Source organism: Homo sapiens, chromosome 4 (genome assembly GCF_000001405.40).
Source record: "Homo sapiens chromosome 4, GRCh38.p14 Primary Assembly".
In the NCBI taxonomy this organism is placed as follows: Eukaryota; Metazoa; Chordata; class Mammalia; order Primates; family Hominidae; genus Homo; species Homo sapiens.
In genome coordinates, this window is record NC_000004.12 from 128,173,058 (window position 1) to 128,188,531 (window position 15,474).

General features: G+C 36.4%; 1 protein-coding gene across 46 annotated transcripts in view; it reads left to right on the plus strand.

The window, feature by feature from the left end:
* Nucleotides 1-15,474, plus strand: part of LARP1B (La ribonucleoprotein 1B) — a 162,138-nt gene that overhangs the window by 112,269 nt on the left and 34,395 nt on the right. For 14 of the 46 annotated variants that reach the window (XR_938753.3, XR_938754.3, XM_017008340.2 and 11 more), the window contains 4 exons: nucleotides 3,815-3,850; nucleotides 4,154-4,209; nucleotides 5,374-5,585; nucleotides 6,349-6,455. Coding sequence is in view for 42 of the 46 variants with exons in the window: in XM_017008340.2 (XP_016863829.1) it covers nucleotides 3,815-3,850; nucleotides 4,154-4,209; nucleotides 5,374-5,585; nucleotides 6,349-6,455 (411 nt within the window). In the remaining 4 variants the exon portion in view is untranslated. Of the gene's footprint in view, nucleotides 1-3,814; nucleotides 3,863-4,153; nucleotides 4,210-5,373; nucleotides 5,586-6,348; nucleotides 6,456-15,474 lie in introns of those variants that run through there. The other 32 variants (NR_146772.2, NM_001410786.1, XM_011532060.3 and 29 more) reach the window with 18 other exon arrangements.

The following is a 15,474-nucleotide window of genomic DNA, read 5'->3' on the forward strand; positions in this document are numbered from 1 at the left end:
TTTTAATATGCTTATGTTTTTCTGTGCTTTATTGAATACACAAAATATAGTTATGATTTTGTTTTTTTGCTAGCAAAGTGTGAATCCAGGATTTGGATTCATATCTATCTGACCGCTATAGTTCAGTGGCCAGCAAATTGTGGCCCATTGGCTGAAACTAGCCTGCCACGGGCCAATGTGATAACGCTGGTCATTTACATATGGCCTCTCGCTGTTTTTATGCTACAAAAGCAGAGCTGAGCTGTTTCAACAGAGACCTTATGTCTTGAAAAGCCAAAAATATTTACTATCTAACATTTGTAGGAAAAGTTTGCTGAGTTCTGCTTTAGAGGCATTTTTATTTATAAAAAACCTGAAGTGCCAGTTCTCATGTAGCATTTTTAATTTTTGACGTTCACTAAACACTAACAGCATAATATTGAGTTTTATTTTTATAAAGGCAGTAGAGACTGCAGACAAGGCTCATATGGTTCAGGTATGAAGCTGTGCAATGATCTGATTTGGTAGTGATAAAATTTGGAAAATCTTAGATAGTAAAATAGTTAGCACACCCCTTCAGTGGTTTTTACATTTAGCATGTTTAAGGTTCACCTGGAAAGCTTGTTGAAACAGATTAAAGGACTCTGTATCAACTTTCTTATTCAGTAAGTTAGGTGGGATATGAGAATATACATTTCTAACAAGTTCCCAAGTCATGCCAATAGTTCTGTTTGGGACTATACCTTGAAAATTACTGCTCTAACCCTTTTTAAGTGTATCATTTGAATTTCAGTAGATGTATAAAATTGTATACCAGCACCACAGTCCGGTTTTAGAACAATTCCATCATACTAAAGAGTTCCTCATGCACATTTGCAGTCAATGCCAACATTCCCCTTCAGCCTGAGGCAACTAGTTATCTTTCTTTCACTATGGTTTTGCACTTTTCAGAAATTTTATATAAATGGAATTATATGATACATAGTTATATACTTGGAATGTTTCACTTAACATAATATTTTTGAGATTCATCTATGTCATTGCATGTATCAGTAACTTTCTTTTATTGCTAAGTATTATTTCATAGAATGAGCATACTACATTTTTTTGTCCATTCAACATTTTATGGACATTTGGATTGTTTCTAGTTTTGGCTATTATGAAAAATGCTATTATGACTATTCATGTTCAAGAGATGGCATATGCTTTTGAGCAGAAGGAAGTTATAATATCTAGATGATATTCATATATTATCCTATGCTTGTAGTTGACAAAAAATGTTAATATATTCTTGTTTCCTAATATATTTCCAATAATAATATTTTAATATTTACTATGAATATTTTATGTTCTTGCAATGAATATTTGATAATTTTATGTCAAAATATTATAAATTGGTATATGATAGTCTATAAACATTTTGTAAAATGTTTCTTTTGAGATAATCAACATACTCTATAGATGTTGATCTTACAAAATTAATATATCTACTCTTATTGGTGGGCAAAATTCACCCTGGAATAAAATAAGTATAAAACAAATAAAACTTAGCTTTTGATGTTGGAAATGTTCAGATACAGATAACAGTAGGGAGAATTGTTTAATGAAATCCCCATGTATCCATCTCACCTAATTTCAACAATTGTTAATAGTTTGACATTCTTTTTTAATCTGTACCTTGCCTCCCGATCTATTCCTGGTGTTCTATATTGAATCTCAAAATCATATCATTTCTCCTGGAAATACTTCACTATATATTGCAAACTGATGAGGACTTACGAAACAAGTATGTATGTAAATTTTTACAGCACCATTAATTCACCTAACAAAAATAGCAATAATTTGTAATATCATCTACTACCCAGTATATGTTTAGTTGTCCCTAATTGTGTGACGTATATTTTTCAAATTGTTTGATTGAACTAGGATGAAACAAGATGCAAACATTGCAATTGACTGATAACACCGTTAAGTTAATCTTAATCTATAATGATTTCTCTTCCCTTGTTTTTCCATGACAATGATTTGTTGAAGAAACTGGTTAATTTGTTGAAGAAACTGGTAGGATTTCTTATGATCTGCATTTACCTGACTGTATCTTCTTCATATCATTTAGTATATCATTTATCCCATGTATTATTAATGAAGTATAAGTACAAAGGATTTAGATATAGGACTGAGTATATTCAGGTTTTGGCATGGTTTTTTTCCTAGTAGCAAGGATATTTCTTAGGAAGACTTGTCTATTTCCTATAGCATCATAGCATATCTGTCACTCCCACTTTTACTGATGCTGTGATTCATGATTTGATTCAGGTGTTGTCAGCCTGATGCTTTCATTATCAAGTTTCCCTCCAATCTTTTACCAAATGGTTTTAGCAGCTATTGATGAATATTCCCTAGATTTCCTCTATTTCAGTAGAATTGCAAAATGGTTATCTTCTAATTCCATCATTCCTTCTGCAATCCTTACATAAAATTTTTCTGTGAAGAATGTTCTTTCATCAACTCTTTGGTTACCCTGAAATTCAACCTTTACAGACAAGGAAGGATAAATGCTTGCTTCTTTCTTTTTATTCAGTTTATTGGTTTTCAAAATAATGAGTTGGTGCCCTAGGACACTCTAAATGTGACTGAGTTTTAAAGTATCATTATGAACTCATGGAGCTTATTTATTCAATGTGTTTATTAATCCATTTCGGTCGTTGTTTTCAGTGGTCAAATTGTTTTATTTTTGACTGGTGGACCTCTAAGATTTACTCTTGTGTCCTTTGATTTATGCTAGTATTTTTAAAACTACTTTATTGCCTTTTGCTCAAGATTTCCCAGGCTCAGATTATACATTCTGTGCTCCAGATGTTATTTTTTTGAGGAGAACTAATTAGTGGGAATTGGAATTTATAGACCATAATCTAGGTGCTAGGAAGCTTACTCTTTCTGGGTTGTTACTGTTCCTAGATCTTTGAAAATTTCTTTCACAAAGGTACTGGATTTAACACATTTTTCAGTATATGTTCATGTTTTTATCTCTAGGATTGTCTCTGTCTCTCTCTCTCGATATATATATATACACACATATATATACACATATATGTGTGTATATATATTTATATTATATATATAAATATATATATTATATATAAATATATAAATATATTTTTATATATTATATATTTATATATAAATTTATATATACATTTATATAAATATATACATTTATATATATACACATATGTGTGTGTGTGTGTGTATATATATATATATATTTTTTTTTTAGATGAAGTCTTGCTCTTGTTCCCCAGGCTGGAGTGCAATGGCATGATCTCGGCTCACTGCAGCCTCCACCTGCCGGGTTCAAGCAATTCTCCTGCCTCAGCCTCCCGAGTAGCTGGGATTACAGGCGCCTGCTACCACGCCTGGCTAATTTTTGCATTTTTAGTAGAGATGGGGTTTCACCACATTGGACAGGCTGGTCTCGAGCTGCTGACCTCATGTGATCTACCCGCCTCGGCCTCCCAAAGTGCTGGGATTACAGGCGTGAGCCACTGCACCTGGCCAGATTGTATATATTTTTGGCATAAGGAAAACAGTATTAACACAATTCAATTAAGTTTAGCATTCCTTTGATGAGGATACATTTTTTCCCAAACATTATGTATGGTAGGCACTAGTATTCGATGCAGTTGTGGTAGTTGCTTTCTGGGAAGCAATGAGACTTACTCTTGGCATCTATGGGATGATATGTAAGAAAATAAATTTTAATTTAATAAATGAAACAATAAATGGATAAAATGCAGACACAGCACAAAAAGGGACTAATTAACTCTCTTGGCAGGAGGTGTTCAAGGAGTGCTTCACATTCCCAAGAAAGGTAACATCTGTGGTGGGTATTAAAGGGAGGCTATGATATCCTTTGCATTGGGTATACAAAAGATGCAGGAAAGGGACTTTCAGACAGAAGAAAAAGCATATGAAAAGATATGGAACAAGGAACAGGACTGACAGTTTGGTGCTATTTGTGTCACCAAGAACAAAGTGGAAAATGACAACAGATGAGGCAAAATCAGCAAAATCTCATATGCCAGGGTAAAGAGCCTAGGCTTATTCTAGAGGCAAATGGGAAACACTGAAGGATGTTAAGCAGAAATATGAAATGATCTAATTTGCTCCTCAGAATAATCATTCTGGTAACAGTGAAGAAAATGGATTGGGAGAGGAAATGGCAAATGTGTAAGTTCACTTTTGACTTTACAAATTCGTGCCTAGAATAGTGCTTGGCAAATAGCGGGCACTTAGTATTTGTTGAGTGAAAAAACAAAAAGTTGTTATATGAATCAAAAAAAGTCGATAAGTCTGAAGAAAAACCACACAGAAATAGTGCCTATTTTTTTTTGTTGCTACTGCTTGATTCATCTGCTGGCTTGTTTGTTATCTTACCATAAGATTTTCATGAACAAATCAGTAAGTAAAATAACCGAATAAAAAAAACAGTCAAAGGATTTGAATAGCAGGCTTACAAAAGAGGAAGTCTGAAGGGTAACTAGAAATATGAAAACATGCTCAATTTCACTAGCAACAACTAGATCATTTAAATCCCATGAGATGGAAGAATATTTAAGAGTTTGCACAAAACCCAGTCTTCACCAGAATGTTGAATTGGAATTCTCACATGCTGCTGGTGAGAGTGTAAGTTGGTGAAATCATTATGGAAAGTGGTTTGGCTGTCAGTAGTCATTAAGTTAGAAGATGCTTATCTCTTTTGACTCAGCATTTCCACTCAGATATAAACCCTAGAGAAATGCTTGTACCTGTACAGAGACATGTTCAGCAATGTTGATCACAGCATTGTTGATTAAACAAAAAACTTTGAAATAACATAAATGTCTATCTGCAGGAGAATGGATAAATTGTGATATATTTGTACACCACATACTATTCAGCAATGAAAATGAACAAATTAGAGCTATGTAAATAAAACATGAAAAAAGTTTACAAAGTGATATATATATATATATATATATATAGCATTATGTTACATAAAGTTAATTATGCAAAATAATATTACATATATGTAATAAAAGATCAAAATTCCAATTTAAGAGGCTAGTTATCTCTGAGAAGGGAAAGCAGGAGGGAAATGGGATTAGGGGAGGTTACACAGGAAGCTTCACCCTTTCTTTAAAAGAAAAAAAGGTCATAAACAGATATAGAAAAATAAAAATTTTATAAAGCTAGATAATGGTCAAAAAAGTATTTGTTATTTTTGTTTTTATATATTTGAAATGTTTTCAGTGAAAAATCCTTTGAGCTTAGAGAATTACAAAATTATCCTTATTCTCAAAGTAAAATATTTTCCTAGCATCTAAATAATTTTAAGAGTTTTTTATTTTGCAGATTTGACTGATGAATTAGCTCAGAAGTTATTTGATGTTTCAGAAATAACTTCAGCAGCAATGGTTCATTCGTTGCCTACAGCAGTTCCAGAATCTCCTAGAATTCATCCTACAAGAACACCCAAAACACCTCGAACACCTAGGTTACAAGATCCTAACAAAACACCAAGATTTTATCCTGTTGTTAAAGAACCAAAAGCCATTGATGTAAAGGTATACAAAACAACCAGGAATATAAGGCTTGCATTTTGTATCCTTTAACATTACAGAATGAAACGTTTTAGTTTCTATCACATTGAAAAATGTGTGTTATAACTTGTAATATTTCACTTAAAAATCATACTTTACCATAGTGATATTTTCTCTGGTTAGGAAATTTTTCGGTTGGGCACGGTGGTTTATGCCTGTAATCCAACACTTTGGGAGACCGAGGCAGGTGGATCGCTTGTGCCCAGGAGTTGGAGACGAGCCTGGGCAATGCAGTGGGACCCCATCTCTAAAAAAATACAAAAATTAGATGGGCGTGGTGGCGTGTGCCTGTAGTCCCAGCTACTTGGGAGGCTGAGGTGGCAGGATTGCTTGAGCCTGTAGGGGTCAGGGCTGCAGTGAGCCATGATCATGCCACTGCACTCCAGCCTTGGCAACAGAGTAAGACCCCATTTAAAAATAAACAAACAAACAAAAACCTTTTTTACAATTGGATAGTGTAATTAAAGACGAACAGAAAGTATAATGAAGAATCACACTAAGCTGCACTTCATTTCATCTTTGTGTCACAAACCTACCAAAGGACTTTATTTATTAAGTTTTGTAACTTGTGTGTGAGATTTTTGAGTTTTGTGACTTCATATGATTTCACAATGTGTTATCTACAGTATGAAAATGTTTGAGTTCATTTATAGTCAGAGGGTTTTAATTTACTTGTGAAGTTCACACTATTGAAACTAATTGCAATGCTTGACTTTATTTTCTTTAGAGTCCAAGAAAGAGAAAAACAAGGCATAGCACAAATCCCCCTCTAGAGTGTCATGTTGGTTGGGTAATGGATTCCAGAGACCGTGGGCCAGGAACATCCTCTGTCAGGTACTATATTTCTCAAACATTACTTTTTTGTTCGTGATTTGAAGTTTTTTGAAAACAGTTACTAATTGGATATTTCAAAATATTTAAAAATTAATATGTTAGCAAATTATAGAGCAATGAAAATGGTACAAAGAAGCCAAAGAAGAGATAAGTTTTACAAGTATGTTAAGGAAATAATCCAGTTGGACAGTTTTTTTTTCCCATTTAAATTATTTTTCACAAATGTGAACTCTTAGATTTATAAGCTATGTAGGTCTATGAAAGTTATTATCTTTGGAAAGTTCCCAGAGTCTTAGTGGCATTTAATAGGTTCTTAGTAGATATTTATTGAGGACATTAATGTGCTAAACAAACAACTCAAACTGTATAAATAATATGGAAACGAAGCATTGTTATTTTGCTTTTTTCCCCCTTTTTTGAAAATCATTAAGATTAGCTGATTATTAGCAGGAATTTTTTTTTATAAGAAAGAAGAAAATTAATTAAAAAAAGAAGAAGTCTAGAGCAAATCTCTTAGAGTGCCAGTGATCTGCAAAGCACTATGGTATGTTTTGTCCTTCAGAGGGGTTGCAGAGGTGATTTATTGCTCGTTGCTTTGTGATGCTTTTTTTAAAATAAAAATAGAGACAGAATCTTGCTCTGTTACCTAGGATGGTCTCAAACTTCTGGCCTCAAGCAGTCCTCCTACCTCAGCCTTGTAAAGTGCTGGGATTACAGGCATGAGCCACCTCACCCAGCCTGTGTTTCTTAAAAACCATTTTGTGTTTATACTAGATATTTTCAGAATAATTAACTGATAGTTTTTCCATTTGAAAACTTTGGGAAAATATGTTTTTGACTGGTTACTAGAAAAGAAGGATTAGTTAGTTTCATGAAAAGAAATGCTAGGGAGTTTATCATGCTCTCAAAACCTTGAAATCTGTCTTGTTAGTGATACACATTTGATTATTTTACATTGTTCTTACTAGCTATATTGTCTCTAAAAGATAAAAAGTGTGTATGTTCTTCTGCACACCTGTGGTATACTAATAGTTATTTTGGGGTTATAAGTGATTTTTCAGTTTTTTTCCCCAGAGTATTTCTTTTTATTGGAGCAGTATATGTAGAGATCAACAACAATGGAAAATGTTTAATTTACCTAATGAAGGACATCTTGTCTTTGTTGCTTCCAAGTTTTGGGAATTATGAATAAAGCTGCTATAAACATCTATGTAAAGGTTTTAGTGTGGACATATTTTTAAATCCCTTAGATAAATACTAAGGAGCATGATTGCTGGATTGTATAATAAGAATATATTTAGTTTTGTAAGAAACTGCCAAACTGTTTTCCAAAGTGGCCCTATCATTTTGCATTCTCACCAGTAATGTTTCTTTTTAACCTTGGTAATGTCTTGTTTTGAAGTCAGCCTTGTCTGATATTTATATAATTATGCCAACTTTCTTTAGATGAGTGTTTGCCAGTGTATCTTTTTCTACCTTTTTACTTTTAAGCAATCTCTTTGTTTTAAAGTGGGTTTAATGTAGGCAGCATATATTTGGGTCTTTCTTTGCTTTTTATAACCCAGTCTGATAATGTGTTGTTTAATTAGTATGTTTAGACCATCCACATTTAGTGTAGTTATTGATGTGGTTGGATTTAAATCTATCATTTATTTTTCTCATCCATTCTTTTTTTTTTTTTTTTCTTTTGAGACTGAGTCTCACTCTGTCTCCCATTCTGGAGTGCAATGGCATGATCTTGGCTCACTTCAACTTCCGGCTCCCAGGTTCAGGTGAGGACTCAACCTCCTGAGTAGCTGGGATTACAGGTGCCTGGCACCACACCCAGCTAATTTTTGTATTTTTAGTAGAGATGGGGTTTCACCAGGTTGGCCAGGCTGGTCTCCAACTGCTGACCTCAGGTGATCCACCTGTCTTGGCCTCCTCAGGTGCTGGGATTACAGGCATGAGCCACACTGCGCCCAGCTGTCTCATCTATTCTTCATTCTTTTTTCTCTTTTTCTGCTTTCTTTTGGATTGAGTTTTTATAATGATCCTATTTTATCTCTACTATTGACTTATTAGTTATGTCTCTTTTTTATTTTTTACTGATCCTCTAGGATTTACAGGTATACTTTGTTTTGTTGTGCTTCATAGATACTGTTTTTCACAAAGTGAAGGTTTGTGGCACCCCTGTGTTGAGCAAGTTTATCAATGCCCTTTATCTAACAGATGTACTCAATTCATGTCTCTGTGTCACCTTTTGGTAATTCTTGCAATATTTCAAACTTTATTATTATTATGATGTCCTTTTTTTTTTTTTTTTTTTTTTGAGACGAAGTCTCGCTCTGTCGCCCAGGCTGGAGTGCAGGGGTGTGATCTCAGCTCACTGCAAGCTCTGCCTCCTGGGTTCACGCCATTCTCCTGCCTCAGCCTCCTGAGTAGCTGGGACTACAGGTGCCCGCCACCACGCCTGGCTAACTTTTTTTTTTGTATTTTTTTAGTAGAGACGGGGTTTCACCGTGTTAGCCAGGATGGTCTCAATCTCCTGATCTCGTGATCTGCCCGCCTTGGCCTCCCAAAGTGCTGGGATTACAGGCATGAGCCACTGCACCCGGCCTTTTTTTTTTTTTTTTTTTTGAGACAGAGTCTCACTCTGTTGCACAGGCTGGAGTTCTGTGGCACAATCATGGCCCACTGCAACCGTAACCTCCCAGACTCAAGTGATCCTCCCACTTCAGCCTCCTGAGTAGCTGGAACTACAGTTGCATGCCACCATATCCAGCTAATTTTTGTATTTTTTATAGAGATGGGGTCTCTGCTGTCTGGGCTGGTCTTGAATTCCTGGACTCAAGCAGTTCTCCTATCTCGGCCTTCCAAAGTGCTGTGATTACAGACATGAACCACCATGCCCAGCTACTATTTTGTATTTTATGGTGATCTGTGATTAGTGATCTTTGATGTTAACTATTGTAATTGTTTTGGTACACCATGAACCATGCCAGGATAAGACAGTGAACTTAATAAATATTGTATGTTTTCTGGCTGCTCCACTGACTGGCCATTTCTCCATCTCTCCCCCTCTTCTTGGGCATCCCTGTACCCTGAGAGACAAAAATGTTGAAATTAGACCAACTAATAACCCTACAGTGGCCCCTAATTGTTCAAGTGAAATTAAGAGTCAAAATTCTTCAAAATTAGGAATGTCATCATTAATGAGGAAGGCACGTTGAAAGCCCCAAGACAGGCTGAAAACTAGATCTCTTGTGTCAAACAGCCAAAATATGAAGGCAAAGTTTTTGAGGGAAATTAAAAGTGCTACTCCAGTGAATACACAAATGATAAGAAAGTGAAACAGTTTTATTGATGATAGGGATAGAGTTTGAGTGGTCTGGATAAAAGATCAAACCACCCCCAATATTCCCTTAAGCCAAAGCATAATCCAGAGCAAGGCCCTGACTCTCTTCAATTCTCTGAAGACTGAAAGAGGCGAGGGAGGTGCAGAAGAAAAGTTGGAAGCTAGCAGAAGTTGGTTAATGAGGTTTAAGAAGCTGTCTCCATAATATAAAAGTGCAAGGTGAAGGAGCAAGTGCTGATGGGGAAGGTGCAGCAAGTTTTAAGGAAGATCTAGCTAAGATAATAAAAGTGGCTACATTTCTGCAGGTCTAGATCTGAAAAAAAAGTGTGGCTACCTTAAACAATAGATTTTCAGTGTAGACAAAACAGCCTTCTATTGGGAGAAGAAGCCATCTAGGACTTTCATAGTTAGGAAGGAGCAGTCAATGTTTGGCTTCAGAGCTTCAAGGGATGGGGCTGACTCTCTTGTTAGGGGCTAATGCAGGTGGTGACTTTAAGTTGAAGGCAATGCCAGGGCTCTTTTGAATTATGCTGAATCTACTAATCTGCTTATGCTCTATAAATAGAACAACAAAGTCTATGTGACAGCACATCTACTTACAATGTGGGTTACTAAATATTTTAAGCCCACTGTTAAGACCTACTATTTAGAAAAAAAGATTCCTTTCAAAATATTACTGCTCATTGACAGTGTACGTCATCACCCAAGAATGCTGATGAATATATACAAGGAGATTAATGTTTTTTTCATACCTGCTAACACATTTATTCTGCAGTCCATGGATTCCAAGGAGTCATTTTAACTTTCTAGTCTTATTATTTAGAATATTCATATATAGTATATTCATAAGGCTATAGCTGCCACAGCTAGTCATTCCTCTGTTGGACCTGAGCAAAGTAAATTGAAAACATTCTGGAGAGTATTCACCATTCTACATGCCATTAAGAACATTGGTGATTCATAGGAGGAAGTCAAAATATCAACATTAACAGGATTTTAAAAGAAGTTGATTTCTACCCTCATGGATGACTTTGAGAGGCTCAGACTTCAGTGGAGGATTTAATTACAGATGTGGTGGAAATAGCAAGAGAAGTAGAATTAGAAGTGGAGCCTGAAGATGTGACTGAATTGCTGCGATCTCACGATAAAACCTGAAAGGATGAGGAATTGCTTCTTATGGACGAGCACAGAGAGTAGTTTCTTGAGATAGAATCTACTCCTGGTGAAGATTCTGTGAACATTGTTGAAATGACAACAACAGATTTAGAATATTATATAAAGCAGTGGCAGGGTTTGAGAGGACTGACTCCAATTTTCAAAGGAGTTCTACTGTGGGTAAAATGCTATCAGGACAGCATCCATGCTACAGAGAAAACTTGGGAACAGAAGAGTCAATCAATGTAGCAAATTTCATTGTTGTCTTATTTTAAGAAATTGCCACAGCCATTCCAACCGTCAGCAACCACCGCTCTGATCAGTCAGCAGCCATCAGCATCGAGGCAAAACCCTCCACCAGCAAAAAGACTATGACTTGCTGAAGGCTCATATGACCATTAGCATTTTTAGCAATACAGTTTTTAAAAAAATTGATACATAACAGTTGTACATATTTTGGGGGTGCATGTGATATTTTGATACATGCATACAATGTGTAATGATCAAATCAGGGTAATGGGGATATCAATCACCTCAAACATTTTTCTTTATTCTGTTCCATTTTTTTCCTTTTCTTTTTAAGATCTTTTTGCATACCAACCTTCTAGCTATTTTGTACTATACAATATGTTATTGTTAAGTATGGTTATTCTACTGTACTATAAAACACTAGGTCTCATTTCTGGTATTAACTGTATTTTTGTACCTGTTAAATAACTGCTTTTCACCGCCCTTCCCCCTACCCATTCTAGTCCCTGGTAAGCACTAATCAACTCTCTTATCTCTATGAGATCTACTTTTTTACCTCCCACTTATTAGTGAGAACATGTGGTACTTATCTTTCTGTGCCTGGCTTATTTCATATAATATAATGACTTCCAGTTCTATGTTTCTGCAAATGACATAATTCTTTTTTATGGCTGAATAGTATTCCATTGTGTATGTGTGTATGTTTATGTATGTGCCTATGTATGTATGTGCATATATTTACACATATATACATATATACACATATACATACATGTACATACACATATATATACCCATATATAAAATTTTCTTCATTCATCCATTGATAGACACTTAGGTTGATTACATGTCTTGGCTATAGTGAATAGTGCTGCAATAAACATGGAAGTGCAGCTGTCTCTTTGATATACTGATTTCCTCTATTTTGGATATATATCCAGCAGGGAGATTTCTGGATCATATGGTAGTTCTGTTTTTGTTTTTTGAGGAACTTCTATTCTGTTTTCTGTAGTGGCTGTACTAATTTACATTCCCACCAATGGTGTGTGAAGCATTCTCCTTTCTCTGCATCCTTGCAACATCCATTATTTTTTGTTTTCTTGATAAAAGCCATTTTAACTGGGGTGAGATGCTTTATCATTGTAGTTTTGATTTTCTTTATCTTCTTGATAATTAGTAATGTTGAGCACTTTAAAATATACCTGTTGTCCAGTTGATGTCTTCTTTGGAGAAATGTCTATTAGATCTTTTGTCAGTTTTAAAATGGGATTATTTGTATTGTTTTTTTTTTTCTACTGAGTTGTTTGAGTTCCTTGTATATTCTAGTTATTAGTCCTTTTTTGGATGGATAGTTTGCAAATATTTTCTCCTATTCTGTAGGTTGTCTCTTCACTTTGTTGATTCCTTCATGTGCTGTGCAGAAACTTTTTTGCTTGATATAATCTCATTAGTCTATTTTTGCTTTTGTTCCTTGTGCTTTTAGCATCTAACACAAAACATCTTTGCCTAGACCAATGGCCTAGAGTGTTTTCCCAATATTTTCTTCTAGTAATTTCATAGCTTTGGGTCCTAGTTTAAGTCTTTAGTCCATTTTGATTGGCTTTTTGTAGAGAGGGGTCTAGCTTCAGACTTTTGCATTATGGTTATCTAGTTTTCTTAGCCCCACTTATCGAAGTGACTGTCCTTTCTTCAATGTATGTTCTTGGTACCTTTGTCAAAAATGAATTGGCTGATAATGTGTAGATTTTTTTCTAAATTTTCTATTTTGTTCCATTGGTCTATGTGTCTGCTTTTACACCAGTACCATGCTACCTTGGTTACTATGGCTTTGTATTATATTTTGAAGTTGGGTAGTGTGATGCCTCCAGGTTTATTCTTTTTGCCCAGAATTAATTTGATTTTTCACGGCCTTTTGTGGTTCTGTATAAATTTTAGGATTTTTTTTCTATTTCTGTGAAGAAATTTTGATAGGGATGGAATTAAATCTGTAGAAGTTGCTGCATAGTATTGAGATTTTAACAATGTTAATTTTTCCAATCCATGAGCATGTGCTATCATTCCCTTTCTTTCGTGTGACCTCTTTAATTTCTTTCATCTGTGTTTTTTAGTTTTCTTTGTAGAGATCTTTCACTTTGGTTACACTTATACCTAGATACTTTATGTATTTTTGTAGCTGTCTTGATTTCTTTTTCAGTGTGTTTGCTTTTGGCATATATAAATGCTACTGTTTTTTTGTATATTGATTTTGTATTGTGCAACTTTACTGAATTGACCCAGATTTTTGGTGGAGTCTTTAGATTTTTCTAAATATAATATCAGATCATCTGCAGGCAAGGATAATTTGACTTCTTCTTTTCCAGTGTGGATGCTCTTTCTCTTGCCTAATTGCTCTTGCTAGGACTTACAGTACTATGTTCAATTAAAGTGGTAAAGTGGACAACCTTGTGTTATTCCAGATCTTAGAGGAAAGGCCAAGTGCTCATGTCTAAGACAATGAGAAAAACACCTTGTAGGCATTTTAGAGACCTCCCGCCGCAGGACCAGAGGCCTAGGAGGACAGAATGGGGCCCTGTGCAACCTTGGGAAACTGCTCCCTGCATTCCAGCTGCTCCAGCTGTAGCATGGCTAAAAGGGGCCCAGATACAGCTTGGGGCTGCTGCTTCAGAGGGTGCAAACCATAAACCTTGGCAGGTTCCATGTGGTAGTAAGCCTGCAGGTGGTGCACAGAATGCAAGAGTTGAGGCTTGGGAGCCTCTGCCTATATTTCAGAGGATGTATGGAAAATCCTGGATGTCTAGACTAAAGCCTGCTGTAGGGGCAGAGCCCTCATGGAGAACCTCTACAAGGACAGTGCAGAGAGGAAATGTGGGGTTGGATCCCTCATACAGACTCCCCACTGGGGCACTGCCTAGTGAAGCTTTGAGAAGAGGGCCACTGTCCTCCAGACCCCAGAATGGTAGATCCACTAGCAGCCTGCATCCTCAGCCTCGAAAAGCCACAGGCACTCAGTGCCAGCCCTTAAGAGCAGCCATGTGGGCTAAACCCTGGAAAGCCATAGGCATGGAGCTGCCCAAGGCTTTGTGAGCCCACCCCTTGCACCAGCATACCCTGGATGTAACATATGGAGTCAAAGGATATTATTTTGGAACTTTAAGATTTAGTGATTGCCCTTCTGGGCTTTGGACTTGCATGCAGCCTGTAGCCCCTTTCTTTTGGGCTATTTCTTCCTTTTGTGTATTTACCCAAGGCCTATACCTCCATTGTATCTTGGAAGTACCTACCTTGTTTTTGATTTTACAGGCTCATAGGTGGAAGGGACTAGCCTTGTCTCAAATGAGACTTTGGACTTTTGAGTTAATGCTAGAATGAGTTAAGACTTTGGGGGATTGTTGGGAAGACATGACTAGATTTTGCAATGTGAGAAGGACATGAGATTTGGCAGGGGCCAGGGTAGAATTATATGGTTTGGATCTATGTCCCCACCCAAATCTCATGTTCAATTGTAATCCCCAGTATTGGAGGTGGGGCCTGGTGGGAGGTGATTGGATCACCGGGGCAGTTTCTCATGGTTTAACACCATCTGCCTTGGAGTTGTCATTGTGATAGTGAGTTGTGAGATCTGGTTGTTTAAAAGTGTGTGGCACCTCCACTGTCTCTCTTCCTCCTGCTCCAGCTATGTGAAGTGCTGCTCCCCCTGCCTTCCACCATGATTGTAAGTTTTCCTAAGGCCTCCCTAGAAGCTGAGCCAGCATCATGCTGTACTGCCTACAGAACCATGAGCCAATTAAACCTCTTTCCTCTATAATTTACCCAGTCTCGGGTATTTTTTTTTTTTTTTGAGGCGGAGTTTTGCTCTTGTTGCCCAGGCTCAAGTGCAGTGGTGTGATTTCAGCTCACTGCAACCTCCGCCTCCCGGGTTCAAGTGATTCTCCTGCTTCAGCCTCCTGAGTAGCTGGGATTACAGGCATGCACCACCATGTCTGGGTAATTTTTGTATTTTTAGTAGAGATGGGGTTTCTCCATGTTGGTCAGGCTGGTCTCGAACTCCCAACCTCAGGTCATCCGCCCGCCTTGGTCTCCCAAAGTGCTGGGATTACAGGCATGAGCCACTGCGCCTGGCTGGGTATTTCTTTATAGTAATGTGAGAACAGCCTAATACATCTAGCTGAAGGTTTGTTGATTTTGTTTATCTTTTCAAAAAACCAACTTTTTCATTTCATTGATTTTTTGTACTTGTTTTAGTCTCAATTTTATTTATTTCTGCCTTGATCTTTATTG